Source organism: Homo sapiens, chromosome 20 (assembly GCF_000001405.40).
Source record: "Homo sapiens chromosome 20, GRCh38.p14 Primary Assembly".
In the NCBI taxonomy this organism is placed as follows: domain Eukaryota; kingdom Metazoa; phylum Chordata; class Mammalia; order Primates; family Hominidae; genus Homo; species Homo sapiens.
The window spans coordinates 48,877,406-48,891,330 of NC_000020.11; the positions used below are offsets into that span (position 1 = coordinate 48,877,406).

The 13,925-nt window shown below is 42.8% G+C and overlaps 1 protein-coding gene across 1 annotated transcript in view; it reads right to left on the reverse strand.

Annotated features, from left to right (window-relative positions):
- PREX1 (phosphatidylinositol-3,4,5-trisphosphate dependent Rac exchange factor 1) overlaps positions 1–10,780 on the reverse strand; it is a 263,934-nt gene extending 253,154 nt beyond the window's left edge. The window contains exon 1 of the mRNA XM_047440333.1: positions 10,695–10,780. The gene's annotated coding sequence lies outside the window, so the exon portion shown is untranslated. The remainder of the gene's footprint in view (positions 1–10,694) is intronic.
- Between the last annotated feature and the right edge of the window lie 3,145 nt (positions 10,781–13,925).

Sequence of the window (13,925 nt, forward strand, 5' to 3'; positions counted from 1 at the left end):
TCAGCACTTTTTTCTGCACTCTTTGTGCCAGCCTCAGTTAGATTCTAACTCAGTGGTGGCTCTCAGTGGCAAAATAGCTTAGCAACACCAGTTGGGTTTCTTTTCTCCCAATAGTAATAGAAATGCTTAAACTGGCTCTAGCTGGATCAGTGTGGGTCACATGCTGATCTCTGATACAATCACTGGGCAGGGAAATGGGCTACACTGATTGGCCTGGTGTAGGCCCCATGTCCATTTCATATTTGTTACATTAATAAATACGAAAGATTAGAGACAGCAATAAAACATTTTACATTTGAACAATAGAGCAACTAGAGTGATCCTTTTTAAAACCTACAACAAATCATTTGACTCCTCTGCTCTAAAAGCTCCTCACTCAGAACAAAAGCCCAAGTTCTTCAGAACAAAAGCCCAAGTTCTGAGCCAGGCGTGGTGGCTCACGCCTATAATCCCAGCACTTTGGGAGGCTGAGGCGGGCGGATCACCTGAGATCAGGAGTTTGAGACCAGCCTGGCCAACATGGCGAAGCTCCATCTCTACTAAAAATACAAAAATTAGCCGGGCATGGTGGTGTATGCCTATAATCCCAGCTACTTGGAAGGCTGAGGCAGGATAATCGCTTGAACCCAGGAAGCGGAGGTTGCAGTGAGCTCAGATCACACCACTGCACTCCAGCCTGGGCAACAGAGTGAGACTCTGTCTCACACACAAAAAAAGCCCAAGTTCTTACAATAGCCCACAAGGCCCTACCCAACATGCACCCTGCCCCAACCCCAGTTATTCACTGACCTCCTAGTCTCCCCTTCGTTCACTCTGCTCCAGCCAGGCTGCTCTCCTTGCATAGCCACAAAAAGTATACATGCAGTAGCCTCATTTTCTTTGCTAATAAAATGAGACCTCTTCTAGTAGACACCTGATACTTTGCCCAGAATTCCCCTTTTTCTTTTTTTTTGAGATGGAGTCTCACTCTGTTGCCTAGGCTGGAGTGCAGTGGCACGATCTCGGCTCACTGAAACCTCCACCTCCCTGGTTCAAACGATTCTCCTGCCTCAGCCTCCCGAGTAGCTGGGATTACAGGCACGTGCCACCACACCCAGTTAATTTTTTGTATTTTTAGTAGTGATGGGTTTCACTGTGTTAGCCAGGATGGTCTTGATCTACTGACCTTGTGATCCATCCGCCTCAGCCTCCCAAAGTGCTGGGATTATAGGCATGAGCCACCGCGCCCGGCCACATTCCCCTTTTTCTGGCAACTCTCTGGCATCTGCCCTACCACACCTTCCTTCCATGTGTTTTAGGAAGTGTTGACCTATCCCAGATCCAGAGATGGACGTGTGACTTAGGCCTGGCCAATCAGAACATCCAACAGCATTCCAGAACCACTCATAGCATGTGGTTCAGGGATGGGCATGTGACCCAACTCAATCTAATGAGATTCAATCCTGAACCTTTATTGGGATGATTAGAAATGAAAAGCTTTCTGTATGTTGATATTATTAGAAGGATAATGGAAGTATTGAGGCTCCCAAGCCACCCGCTGGAGAGAAAACTCACTTGTGAGTAAAATCAGTGCCAGGGAAAGCAGAGCGGTGAAGCAGGAAGAGGAAAACTGAGTTCCGGTGACATCTTTGAGCCCCTGGATTCAGCCATGCCTGAATCCCACTAGACTTTTCAGTTACATATTGTAGTAGGTACCCTTCTTTGCTCAAGCCATTGTGACTTGGGTTGTAGTCACTTGTAACCAAGAGACCATTTTGAAGGGCTGCTATTGCGAGGATTAAATGAGATGGTGAATTACATGAAGTGTTTAGTACAATACGTGCTCCAAAAGAAAAAGTCATTATTATTTTGCAGTTTCATCTTCCATACACATATTTAAATCTGTTTTCCCTTTTACGTTCTTTACCTAAGAAAAAAATGTTTAAACTTATCTATAATCAAAGCTGGTATTCACTTGGGACCAGTGTAGTTATACTGGTTATTTAAATACTGAAATACATTCATAATAGTTGATAAACAGTACTGTTCTGAATCTCCCACATGCTCTGTGGCTCTCCAGAATGCACCCAACTCGTCTGTTGGAATCCTCTAGCTCATTCTACTATCTAGCACCTAAAAGGTTAACACCAGGTCTAGCAGGGCCTCCTGTATTCTGTTTATGATTAGCGTCTCATTCATGCTACATATTTTTAATATCACCTCTGGGTACATCTGTCAACTCGTCAATATGCCTGCATTAAATGGAAACACTAAATTATCAACAGCTCCATGAAATAAGACCCTTACTCCCCTCCAAATCACCAATTATTGATAACTATGTAACCTCTTCTGATCCTAAAAATGCCAGAGACATAATTATGCACAGTGGTGACAAAGCAGGCATGGGCACCAGGCCAAGTCCTATCTTTCCCCTTCCTGTTACTTTACAGAGCCTCTACCCTTATTTCTACATCATGGTCATATTTGTCATTCCTAGTTGCAATCTGATATTCCTTTGTTTTAATACACTATGGCTGGCCTAACTCTTCCTCCATGGTGGGACATATGGTCCATTTTTGTTCAGCTTTTCAAATGTTAAAAACTCACTCTGCTGGAAATTGAATTTCCATGTGGTGCCCATCTTTCTGGTAATAAGCCATGGATTTCCTTCCTGATTCAAACTTCAGTTTTGTGAATCACAAGACACAGTTTAACTTTTTGTCTGCAAATGTTTTCTGTTGCTGTTCTTTGAAATAAGAACCCATGTGCTCAATTGTGTAATGCTGTAGTTTAATAAATTATTCATTTTGACTCTAAGTCCACAAAGGACTCAAAGTGGTTTATACAAATATATACACCTTGAAATCAATACATGAGGTGGTCAAGGAGAAGGAAAAATAAGGAGTAGTATATCCGATTGGTATTGTGTTCAGCTGCTGGTAAGAGAGACCAGGAATAACAGTGGCATAAACACCACAGATGTTTATTTTTCTCTTACACAAATGAAATCTAGAGAGAGGAAACCCAGAGCTGATGTGGTAGCTCCACAAAATTGAGGATACGATCTCTTTCTATCATCCTGCCTCACTATCCTTAGAATGTGGCCTCCATCCTAAAGTCCACCTCGTGCTGCAGGATGACTGCAGGAGCTCCAGCTATTGCAGCCACATTTCGGGCAGCAAGAAGAAGGAAATGAAAAAATCCTGTAATCCCAGTTTTCTTTAAGGATCATTTTGGAAGTTCCAGCCCAAAACTTCAGCTTACATATAATTGGCCAGAATGTAGTCCTAGCTACAAAGGAGGCTGAGAAATGTAATCTCTTAGTTGTGCCTGATGCCACCCCAAATAAAGTTCAGGGCTTATTTACTAGGAAAGAAGGGCAAATGGATAATACATAGGCCACTAGTCATTTCTGCCACAGGTAAGAAAATGAAATAAAGCGAGACATTTAGCTGGTTCACAAAACTGCCTACTATAAGGACCTTTAAGGTGTCCAGCTGCCAAATTGTCTCTGAGAATCCTAGTAATGATAGCAGAAGGGGAATCTATGACTAAATACTAAGTGTAATATCTAAGCAAAGAGAGCAAACCATTGCTAAAAAAAAAAAAAAAAAAAAAAAAAAAAGCTTCTTTTCTCAATACAGAGATTAAAAAGCAACTCTACCCACAGGTCTTTGTGAGGAAGACATGGGACATGTGGACGATATCCTCACAATATTTCTGCAATAATGAAACAACATGATTCTGGGACTTGCTTCAAATATTCAGCGTGGGGGAGTGGGTAGGAGTATAGCGAAAACCAGATGGGCCATGAGTTGATAATTGTTGGACTGGGTGATGGAGACTGCTTTGTTATATGTTTCCCTTTACTGTGGTGTACATTTAACATTTTTCCATAATAAAAAAAGAATTTAAACCCAGCAATAAATCCTTTCCAACAATTGCTTTTTAAAATGCTCCTTTTAATAAACTTGCTTTTAAGTTCAATTGACAGGTGGTTTTTATCATAACTCCTCCCTCATATTTTTGGCCTTTGTATCTACTGTCCTTATTTATTAACTTATTTTTAACAGTTTTATTGAGATAGAATTTACATACAATTCATTTTTTTTTTTTTTTTGAGACAGGGTCTCACTCTGTCACCCAGGCTGGAGTGCAATGGTACGATCTCAGCTCACTACAACCTCTGCCTTCCGGGTTCAAGGGATTCTCCTGCCTCAGCCTCCTGAGTAGCTGGGTCTACAGGCACCTGCCACGACGCCCAGCTAATTTTTGTACTTTTAGTAGAGACGGGGTTTCACCCTATTGGCCGGGCTGGTCTCAAACGCCTGACTTTATGATCTGCCCACCTTGCCCTCCCAAAGTGCTGGGATTACAGGCGTAAGCCACAGCACCTGGCCTACAATTCATCTTTAAGTGTGCAATTCAATGGTTTCTTGTAGTTGTGCAACCATCACTACAATCTAATTTCGGAATGTTTTCATCACTCTCAAAAGAAACCCCATCCCCATCTCTACCCATGCTCCTTTCCCCACCCCCACCCCCAGCCCTAGACAACTACTAATCTACTTTCTGTCTCTATGCACTCCCCTATTCTGTATATATCATACAGATCATCATACAATATGTTTTTTATGACGAGCTTCTTCCACTTAACATGATGTCTTCAAGCTTCATCCATGCTACAGCATGTATCAGTTCTTTATAACTTTTTACAGCTAAAGAATATTCCATTATTTTGATATACATTTTGTTTAGACAACCATCAATTGATGGACATTTGCATTGCTTCCAGGTTTGGGGTATTATGAATTATGTTGTTAAGAATCTTCATGTTGCTGGGCGCGGTGGCTCACGCCTGTAATCCCAGCACTTTGGGAGGCGGAGGCAGGCGGATCACGAGGTCAGGAGATCAAGACCATCCTGGCTAACACGGTGAAACCCCGTCTCTACTAAAAATACAAAAAATTAGCCGGGTGTGGTGGCGGGCGCCTGTAGTCCCAGCTACTCGGGAGGTTGAGGCAGGAGAATGGCGTGAACCCAGGAGGTGGAGCTTGCAATGAGCCGAGATCGCGCCACTGCACTCAAGCCTGGGCAACACAGTGAGACTCCGTCTCAAAAAAAAAAAAAAAAAAAAAAAAAGAGAGAATCTTCATGTTTCTATGAAGTTTCTATGTGTATGTATATTTTTGTGTCTCTGGGGTATATATACCTAGGAGTAGAATTGCTGGGTTAAATGGCAATTCTATGCTTAATATTTTGAGGAACTGCCAAACTGTTTTCCAAAGTGGCTGTGGTATCTTACATTTTTGCCAGCAATATATAAGGACTGCAACTTCTCCACAGCCTCACTGACACTTGTTATTATCTGTCTTTTATTTTATCCTCACTAGTGGGTGTGGACTGGTATTTCATTGTGGCTTTAATTTGCATTTTCCCAGTGATAATAAATTTAATCATCTTTTCATAAGCTTATTGGTCATTTGTATATCTTCTTTAAAGGAGTGTCTATTCAAATTCTTTGTCCATCCTTCAGTTGGGTTGTCCTTTTTTTTTTTTTTTTTTTAGATGAAGTCTTGCTCTGTCACCCAGGCTGAAGCGCAGTGATGCAATCTTGGCCCACTGCGACCTCTCAGCCTCCCGGGTTCAAGCGACTCTCTTGCCTCAGCCTCCAGGCAGCTGGAATTACAGGCACATGCCACCACGCCCAGCTACTTTTTGTATTTTTTTAGTAGAGACGGGGTTTCACCATGTTGGCCAGACTGGTCTTAAACTCCTGACCTCAGGTATCTGTCCACCTTGGCCTCCCAAAGTGCTGGGATTACAGGCATGAGACACCGTGCCTGGCCCATTGTCTTTTCATGATCAAAACCACAAATAGAAAGGGCATTGTAAAAAATCCCACAGCTAACATCATACTTGATGGTGAATGAATGCTTTCCCCCTAAAATTAGCAACAAGACAAGATGTCTGCTCTCATTGCATCTATTAATTATTGTACTGGACATTCTAGCCAGGGCAATTACATAAGGGGGAAAAGGCATCCAGTTTAGAAAGGAAGACATAAAATTTTATTCTACTTTCAGATGTCTTGATCCTGTATATTATAAATGGCATGGAATCCACTAAAAATTGTTAGAATTAATAAACAAGCTTAGCAAAGCTGTGGGATATAAGATCAACATACAAAAATTTATCTCTATGAAGTGTCAATGAAAAATCAGAAAATAAAATTAAGCAAACAATTCATTTTACAATAGCATCAAAAAGGATAAAATACTTAGGAATAAATTTACAGAAGTACAAAACTTATGCTGTGAAGACTTGAAAACACTGTTGAAATATTAAAGAAGACCGAAATAAAAGGAAAGTCATTGCATTTTCATGGACTGATAGACTTAATATTATCAATGTAGCAATACTCCCCAAACTAATCTACAGGTTTAAAGCAATTCCTATAAAACTCCCAGCTGGGGCCGGGCGCAGTGGCTCAGGCCTGTAATCCCAGCACTTTGGGGGGCTGAGGTGGGCAGATCACGAGGTCAGCAGATCCAGACCATCCTGGCTAACACGGTGAAACCCCGTCTCTACTAAAAATACAAAAAACTAGCCAGGCGTGGTGGTGGACGCCTGTAGTCTCAGCTACTCGGGAGGCTGAGGCAGGAGAACGGCCGTGAACTCAGGAGGCGGAGCTTGCAGTGAGCCGAGATCACCACTGCACTCCAGCCTGGACGACAGAGCAAAACTCCGTCTAAAAAAAAAAAAAAAAAAAATCCCAGCTGGTTTCTTTTTAGTTGGCTGACCCTAAAATTCATGTGGAAATATAAGCAACCCAGAACAGCCAAGACAACTTTGACAAATAACAAAATTGGAAAACTCACAATTCCTGATTTTAAAACTTACTATAAGGTCACAATAATCAAGACAGTGTGGCGTTGGCATAAGGATAGACAGATAAGTCAATGGAACAGATTAAGAGGACAGAAATAAACCCTTACATTTATAGTCAGTTGACTTATTACAATGGAACCAAAATAGTTTGATGTGACAATATAATCTTTTCAATAAGTGGTCACGTGAAAACAATGAGTTTGGACTCCTTCATCACATCATATGCAAACAATAACTAAAAGTGGATCACAGACCTAAGGATAAGAACTAAAACTATAAACTTCTTAGAAGAAAACATTGGAATAAATATTTGTGACTTTGGGTAAAGCAAGGCCTTGTTACATATGATGTCAAAAAATATAAATGACTAAAGAAAAACAATAGATACATTGGACTTCATCAGAATTAAACACTTGTGTTTCAAAGGACACTATCAAGAAAGTTAAAAGACAAGCAACTGAATGGGAGGAAATATTTGCAAATCATATGTGATAAAGGGCTTATATCCAGAATATCTAAAGAATACAACCCAATAGTAAAAAGACAAATAAACCGGCAGGGCACGGTGGCTCATGCCTGTAATCCTAGCACTTTGGGAGGCAGAGGTGGATGGATCATTTGAGATCAGGGGTTCAAGACCACTACACCTGGCCTAAATCCTGGGTTTTAAATCTGGATAATGTCCATGCATGAAAGAGCCTGACCACCTGTGTTGGACCCCCAGGTCCATTATACCTAGCTGTGTGACCTCAGGCAAATTACTCAACCTCTCTCTGCTTTTGTTATCTCATCTATAAAATGGGGATAAATATAGTAGTACCACTTTTAGGGATGTTTGAGGAGTAAATGAGTTAACGCATATAAAGAAGAGCATAATAAGGAGTCTAATACTAGCCACTATCATCATCATCACTATAGGTCATTTGGATATAACAGATACAGCCCTGGTACAAACATTGTCCTGTTTCACTGTCGTAGGTCCAGCACCTAAAAGAGTGTGTGTGGCATATTGCAGGCGCTTAATAAATATCTCTTGAATAAGTACATGACAGCGAATACATGAATGAATGGATGAAGAAAATATGGGTATAGTAGAGCTTTGGTTTAAAAGTGGAAGATGACAACACCAAATGCTGGCAAGGATGTGGAGCAACAGAAACTCTCATTCATTGCTAGTAGTAATGCAAAATGGCACAGCCACTTCTGAAGACAGGTTGGCAGTTTCTTACAAAACTAAACCTACTCTTACCATATGATCCAGCAATCACACTGTTTGGTATTTACCCAAAGGAATTGAAAACGTATTTCCACACAAAAACCTGTACATCATGTTTATAGCAGCTTTATTCATAGTTGCCAAAATCTTGGAAGCAACCAAGATGTCCTCCAATAGGCAAATGGATGAATAAACTGTGACACCTTCAGACCAGAAACTTTAAAAACAGGGGTCGGGGGTGGGGGCACTATCAAGCCGTGGAAAGACATGGAGGAAACTTAAATGCATATTACTAAGCAAAAGAAGTCTTTCAGTCTGAAAGGCTACATCCTGTCTGATTTCAACGACATGACATTCTGGAAAAGGCAAAACTATGGGGACTGTAAAAAGATTAGTAGTTGCCAGGGGTTAGAGAAAAGGGAGAGATGAATAGTTGGAGCACAGAGGATTTTTAAGGCAGTGAAATTGTTCTGTGTGATACCATAATGGTGGATACATGCCATTATATGTTTGTCAAAACCCATAGAATGTGCAATCCCGAAACCTAATGTAAACTATGGACTCCGGGGGATAATGATGGGTGATAATAATGTGTCAATGTAGGTTCATCAGTTGTAGCAAATATATTATTGTGGTGCAGGATGTCAGTAGTAGGGGAGGTTGTGAATATGTAGGGATGGGGGTATGTTGAAAATTTCTACAGAAATTCTATTTTCCACTCAATTCTGCTGTGAACTTAAAACTGCTCTTAAAAGTAAAGTTTATTCATTAGTGTAAGAAATTCTGGAAGCCTCCGTGGTAAGGCCAGTCACACGCAGGTGCTCTGATGTACCCTAGCACTGGTCATCCAGAGATTGGGCTTCTCACTTCCTTCTCCTGGCAGTGGGCCACTTGCACAGCCAAAGCTAAGAACAGAAGCCTGGCACACCCCCAGGCGCTGGCCAGGCCACCCTTAGTGAGCCAAATACCCCCACCATGGAACCACTGCTCAGCTGGGTCTGGCCACCCAGAAGCACTTACAAACTCTCTGCATCTATGTGTGACCAGAAGCCTGATCTCCCCAGGCCTCATGGTGGTGTTTTTAAAGAAAGCCCCCAGAAGCTAGGCCCAGACAAAATCAGTTCCCAAAGGGACAAAGGCGCTCAGTCTCACAAGTTAAGTAAAAGACAAAAACAGAAGCAAACATTTATATAGCATTAAGCTTGTGTCTGCACTCTTCTTAGCTTTTACAAACATAAATTCATTTAACTTTCTCCACAATCCCACAAGGTAGGGACTAGTATTATCACCATGTTACGGATGAAGAAACTGAGGCACAGAAAGGCTAAGTCAGTAGCCATAAAACCAGTCAATCTGTTAACATGTCAGAGCTGGGTGGTGAATCCAAGCAGGCTGGCTCCAAGACCCTGTTGATCTCTCTGTTGTTCTCCCTTCCATGTACACAGTACTTTACAGTTTGCAAAATCCCTTTAGCAATATAGTATCTCATTTAAGCCTCACAACCATCGGAGGTAGGTAGGGCAGGTAATACTATCTTTAAGAGGAATGGCAATGAGGGAACAGCAAATGAGGAAGCTGAAGCCTAGAGAAGGTAGGTGATTTGCCCAAAGTTGCATGATAAACAGCAAAGGCTCTGGAGGCAGGTGGCATAGGTTCAAACCCCAGCTATTACTGATCAGCCTCATAATCTTGAACAAGTTAATACATACCTCCGTGCCTCAGTTTCCCCATCTTTCTTAGAGTTTTTATGAGGATTAAGCAAGTCAATACATGGAAAGCACTTTATTTAAAATGTTGGTGGCCAGGAGCAGTGGGTCACACCTGTAATCCCAGCACTTTGGGAGGCCAAGGCATGCGGATCACTTTGAGCTCAGGAGTCAGAGACTGGTCAACATGGAAAACATGGCAAAACCTGGCCAACATGGTTGACTCAGCCTGGCCAACATGACAAAACCCTGTCTCTACAAAATATACAAAAATTAGCCAGGCATAGTGGCTCACACCTGTGGTCCCAGCTACTTGGGAGACTGAGGCTGAAAGACAGCTTGAGCCCGGGAAGCAGAGGTTGCAGTGAGCCAAGATCACACCACTGCACTCCAGCCTGGGCGACAGAGTGAGACCCCAACTCAAAATAATAAATAAACAAATAAATAAATAAAAATAAAATGTTGTTTGCCGGGTGCGGTGATTCACGCCTGTAATCCCAGCACTTTGGGAGGCCGAGGTGGGCGGATCACGATGTCAAGAGATGGAGACCATCCTGGCTAACACAGCGAAACCCCGTCTCTACTAAAAATACTAAAACAAAATTAGCCGGGCGTGGTGGCGGGCTCCTGTAGTTCCAGTTCCTGGGGAGGCTGAGGCGGGAGAATGGCGTAAACCCGGGAGGCGGAGCTTGCAGTGAGCCGAGATCACGCCGCCGCACTCCAGCCTGGGCGACAGAGTGAGATTCCGTCTCAAAAAAATAAATTAAATAAATAAATAAATAAATAATAAAATGCTGGTATTTTGGGCCAAGCACTGTGGGTCACACCTGTTGTATTAGGTTTTCACACTGCTGCTAAAGACACCCGAAACTGGGAACAAAAAGAGGTTTAATTGGACTTACAGTTCCACATGTCTGGGGAATTTCTCAGAATCATTGTGCAGGGCGAAAAGCACTTCTTACATGGTGGCCGCAAGAAAGAATGAGGGAAGAAGCAAAAGCAGAAACCCCTGATAAACCCATCAGATCTCGTGAGACTTATTCACTATCACGAGAATAGCACGGGAAAGACTGGCCCCCATGATTCAATTACCTCCCTCTGGGTCTCTCCCACAACACGTGGGAATTCTGGGAGATACAATTCAAGTTGAGATTTGGGTTGGGACACAGTCAAACCATATCACACTGTAATCCGAACACTTTGGGAGGCTAAGGCAGGTGGATAACTTGAGTCCAGGAGTTTGAGACCAGCCTGGACAACATAGTGAAACCCCATCGCTACTAAAAAAATACAAAAATTAGCTGGCCGTGGTGGTGCACTCAGCTACTCGGGAGGCTGAGGTAGGAGAATTGCTTGAACCTGGGAGGTGGAGGTTGCAGTGAGCCAAGATCGCAGCACTGCACTCCAGCCTGGCGACAGAGCGAGACTCCAACTCAAAAAAAAAAAAAAAAAAAAAAATTAGCCAAGCATGGTGGCACATGCTTGTAATCTCAACTACTTGGGAGGTTGAGGTGGGAGGATCTCTTGAGCCCAGGAGGCAGAGGTTGAAGTGGGCCGAGATTGCACCACCACACTCCAGCCTGGGCAGCAGAGCAATATCCTGTCTAAAAAAAAAAAAAAAAAAAAAAAGCCATTTTGTTTGTCATGGATTTTTGTATTCATTTCGATTTTGGTAAATATTGCATTACAAATACTTTATCTTAATTACCAAGTTTGTTAACGCTCCCTTAAATTTTGTCTGGCTTGCTTCACCCTAGTCCTGGCCCTGCTTTGCATGGGGGAATCCTTTAATACACACTAGCTAGTGTCATCCCACTACTTGTTGAATGCTAACTATATGCCAAGAATTGCTGTTAGAAGTTTTATAAGTATACATCACCTCAACAACAAGAAGAAGAAAAATCAGAAACCAAGTTGAAAAGCAAGTGACAGGACAGGAGAAAATATCTGTAGTTTATACAGGCAAAAGATTGGTGCTCAAAATATATAAAGAACTACTACAGATTCATTTTTAAAAAGACAAACTACCCAATACAACAGCAGGCAAAGGACAGAAATGGGCAGTTCACCAAAGAGGAAAAACAGATGGTCAGTAAACATATGAAAAAAACTTTAGCCTCACTGGTTATGAAATACACATTTGGAAGTGTGATGTTATCAAGGGTTGGGAAGAGTGTAAGGAAATGGGATTATAAACTGATTATAAACTGATATAGCCTTTTTGGAGGGAAATTCAGGATCTCTATTAAAGTGAAATTGCATACACCCACTGACTGAGCTATTTCACTTTTGTCTGCGCCAGAGAAACACGTACACATGTGCATGAGGATATTTATCAAAACTTTGCTCTGAATGGCAGTAAGTTGGAAACACCCTAAATGCCCCTCAAAAAGGGAACTGATCAATAAACCACAGTATAGTCATTCTATGAAGTAGAAGCTACAGGGTTTATTTTTAAGGTAGATCATGCTATTAATTTTGGGGTGCAAAAGCAAGTGGTAGAGCCATATGCACTGTATGTTGCCACTTGTGCTTGCAAAAACAACCAGGAAAAAAACAGTACTGAAGAAGTTCTCATTGGCCGACTATCCAACAGTCATTGCCTTCTTCTTTGCTAATAATCTCCAACTTTGTCTGGGTGGCACCGTGCCCCATGCCAGGGAAGGAACCACCTTTTGTCTCAGCCAACCTTAGCAGTCCTTCTCCTATCTGGGAGCCCAGTCCAGGCCAGGAGCAGCATCTCCCATCATTAGCCCGGGTCTACAGAGGCCAGCTCCCACCCCTGAAATTGTCACCCACACATGTCTTAAGGGTTTGGAAAATAGAGCATCTTCTGGGCTCTTTGGCAGAATGGACTTGCCGGGTGGGTTTTTTCACTTCATTCCTGCAGGCCTGCCTCTCTAGGTCTTTGCTTCCTTCCTCCATGGGCTTCAGGGGCAGATCTGACGTTTCTACCACACTTGGTCTGCACCAGCGTTTTTCCAAGCTGCCCTCCTGGGAGCATGTGAGCATCATCTCCTGGGGAAATGCCAGGGTGTTTGAGCCTGTATCCCAGGACAGTGCTCCTGAATGATAAACTCTCCCTTATCCAATACCATATTTCCTCCCTGCACTCCTACCCCTCCATCCGAAACCTTCTGGATCCATTTCCTCCACAATCTCAAGCTCCCATCAGCACTTATGACACAAATTCTGGAGCCCCTTTGGTGCCAAATCCCTCAGCATCCCAGAATATCTACCAGTTGGGCTGTGCGGGAAATTGACTCTTGTTATTGGTCTGGTGGCCAGCAAGGGAGAAATAGATCATTCTTGTTGGTTGGTTCTCCATCTCCTGGAAGTGTTCAAGAGAGATTGGAAGGGTCCTTGGCAGGTGATGTTGACTCCAGCCTCTGCAATCACATAGCCCTAGGTTCTAGTCCCAGCTCAAGCATTTCCTAGCTGTGTGCCTGTGGGAATTCACTTAACCTTTGTAAGCCTCTGTCTCCACCTCTGTAAAGGGCAGGAAATAACAGCATGAGCCTTGCAGTGTTGTTGCAAGGATTAATTGAGATGGCATCTTCAAAGCTCCCTGCAGAGGGCCTGCCTGGCTGGCTAAGCCACTTGGATAGGCCCTTCCCAACAAACTTGAGATTCTATAAATAAGAAGAAATGTGGCTGGGCACAGTGGCTCATGCTTGTAATCCCAGCACTTTGGGAGGCTGAGGTGGGCGGATCACTTGAGGTCAGGAGTTCGAGACCAGCCTGGCCAACATGAAGAAACCCTGTCTCTACTAAAAATACAAAAATTAGCCAGGCGTGGTAGCATGTGGCTGTAATCCCAGCTATTCAGAAGGCTGAGGCAGGAGAATCGCTTGAACCCGGGAGGTGGAGGTTTCAGTGAGCCGAGATCATGCCACTGCACTCCAGCCTGGGTGACAGTGAAACTGTGTCTCAAAAAAAGAAGAATAAGAAGAAGGAGAAGGAGAAGAAGGAGAAGGAAGAAGAAGGAAGAATAAAGAAGAAGAACAGGAAGAGGAAGGAGAAGGAGAAGAAGAAGACAAAGAGGAAGAGGAAGAGGAAGGAGAAGGAGGAGAAGGAGAAGAGGAAGAAGAGGAAGAAAAAGAGGAAAAAGAAGAGGAAGAGGAAGAAGAAGA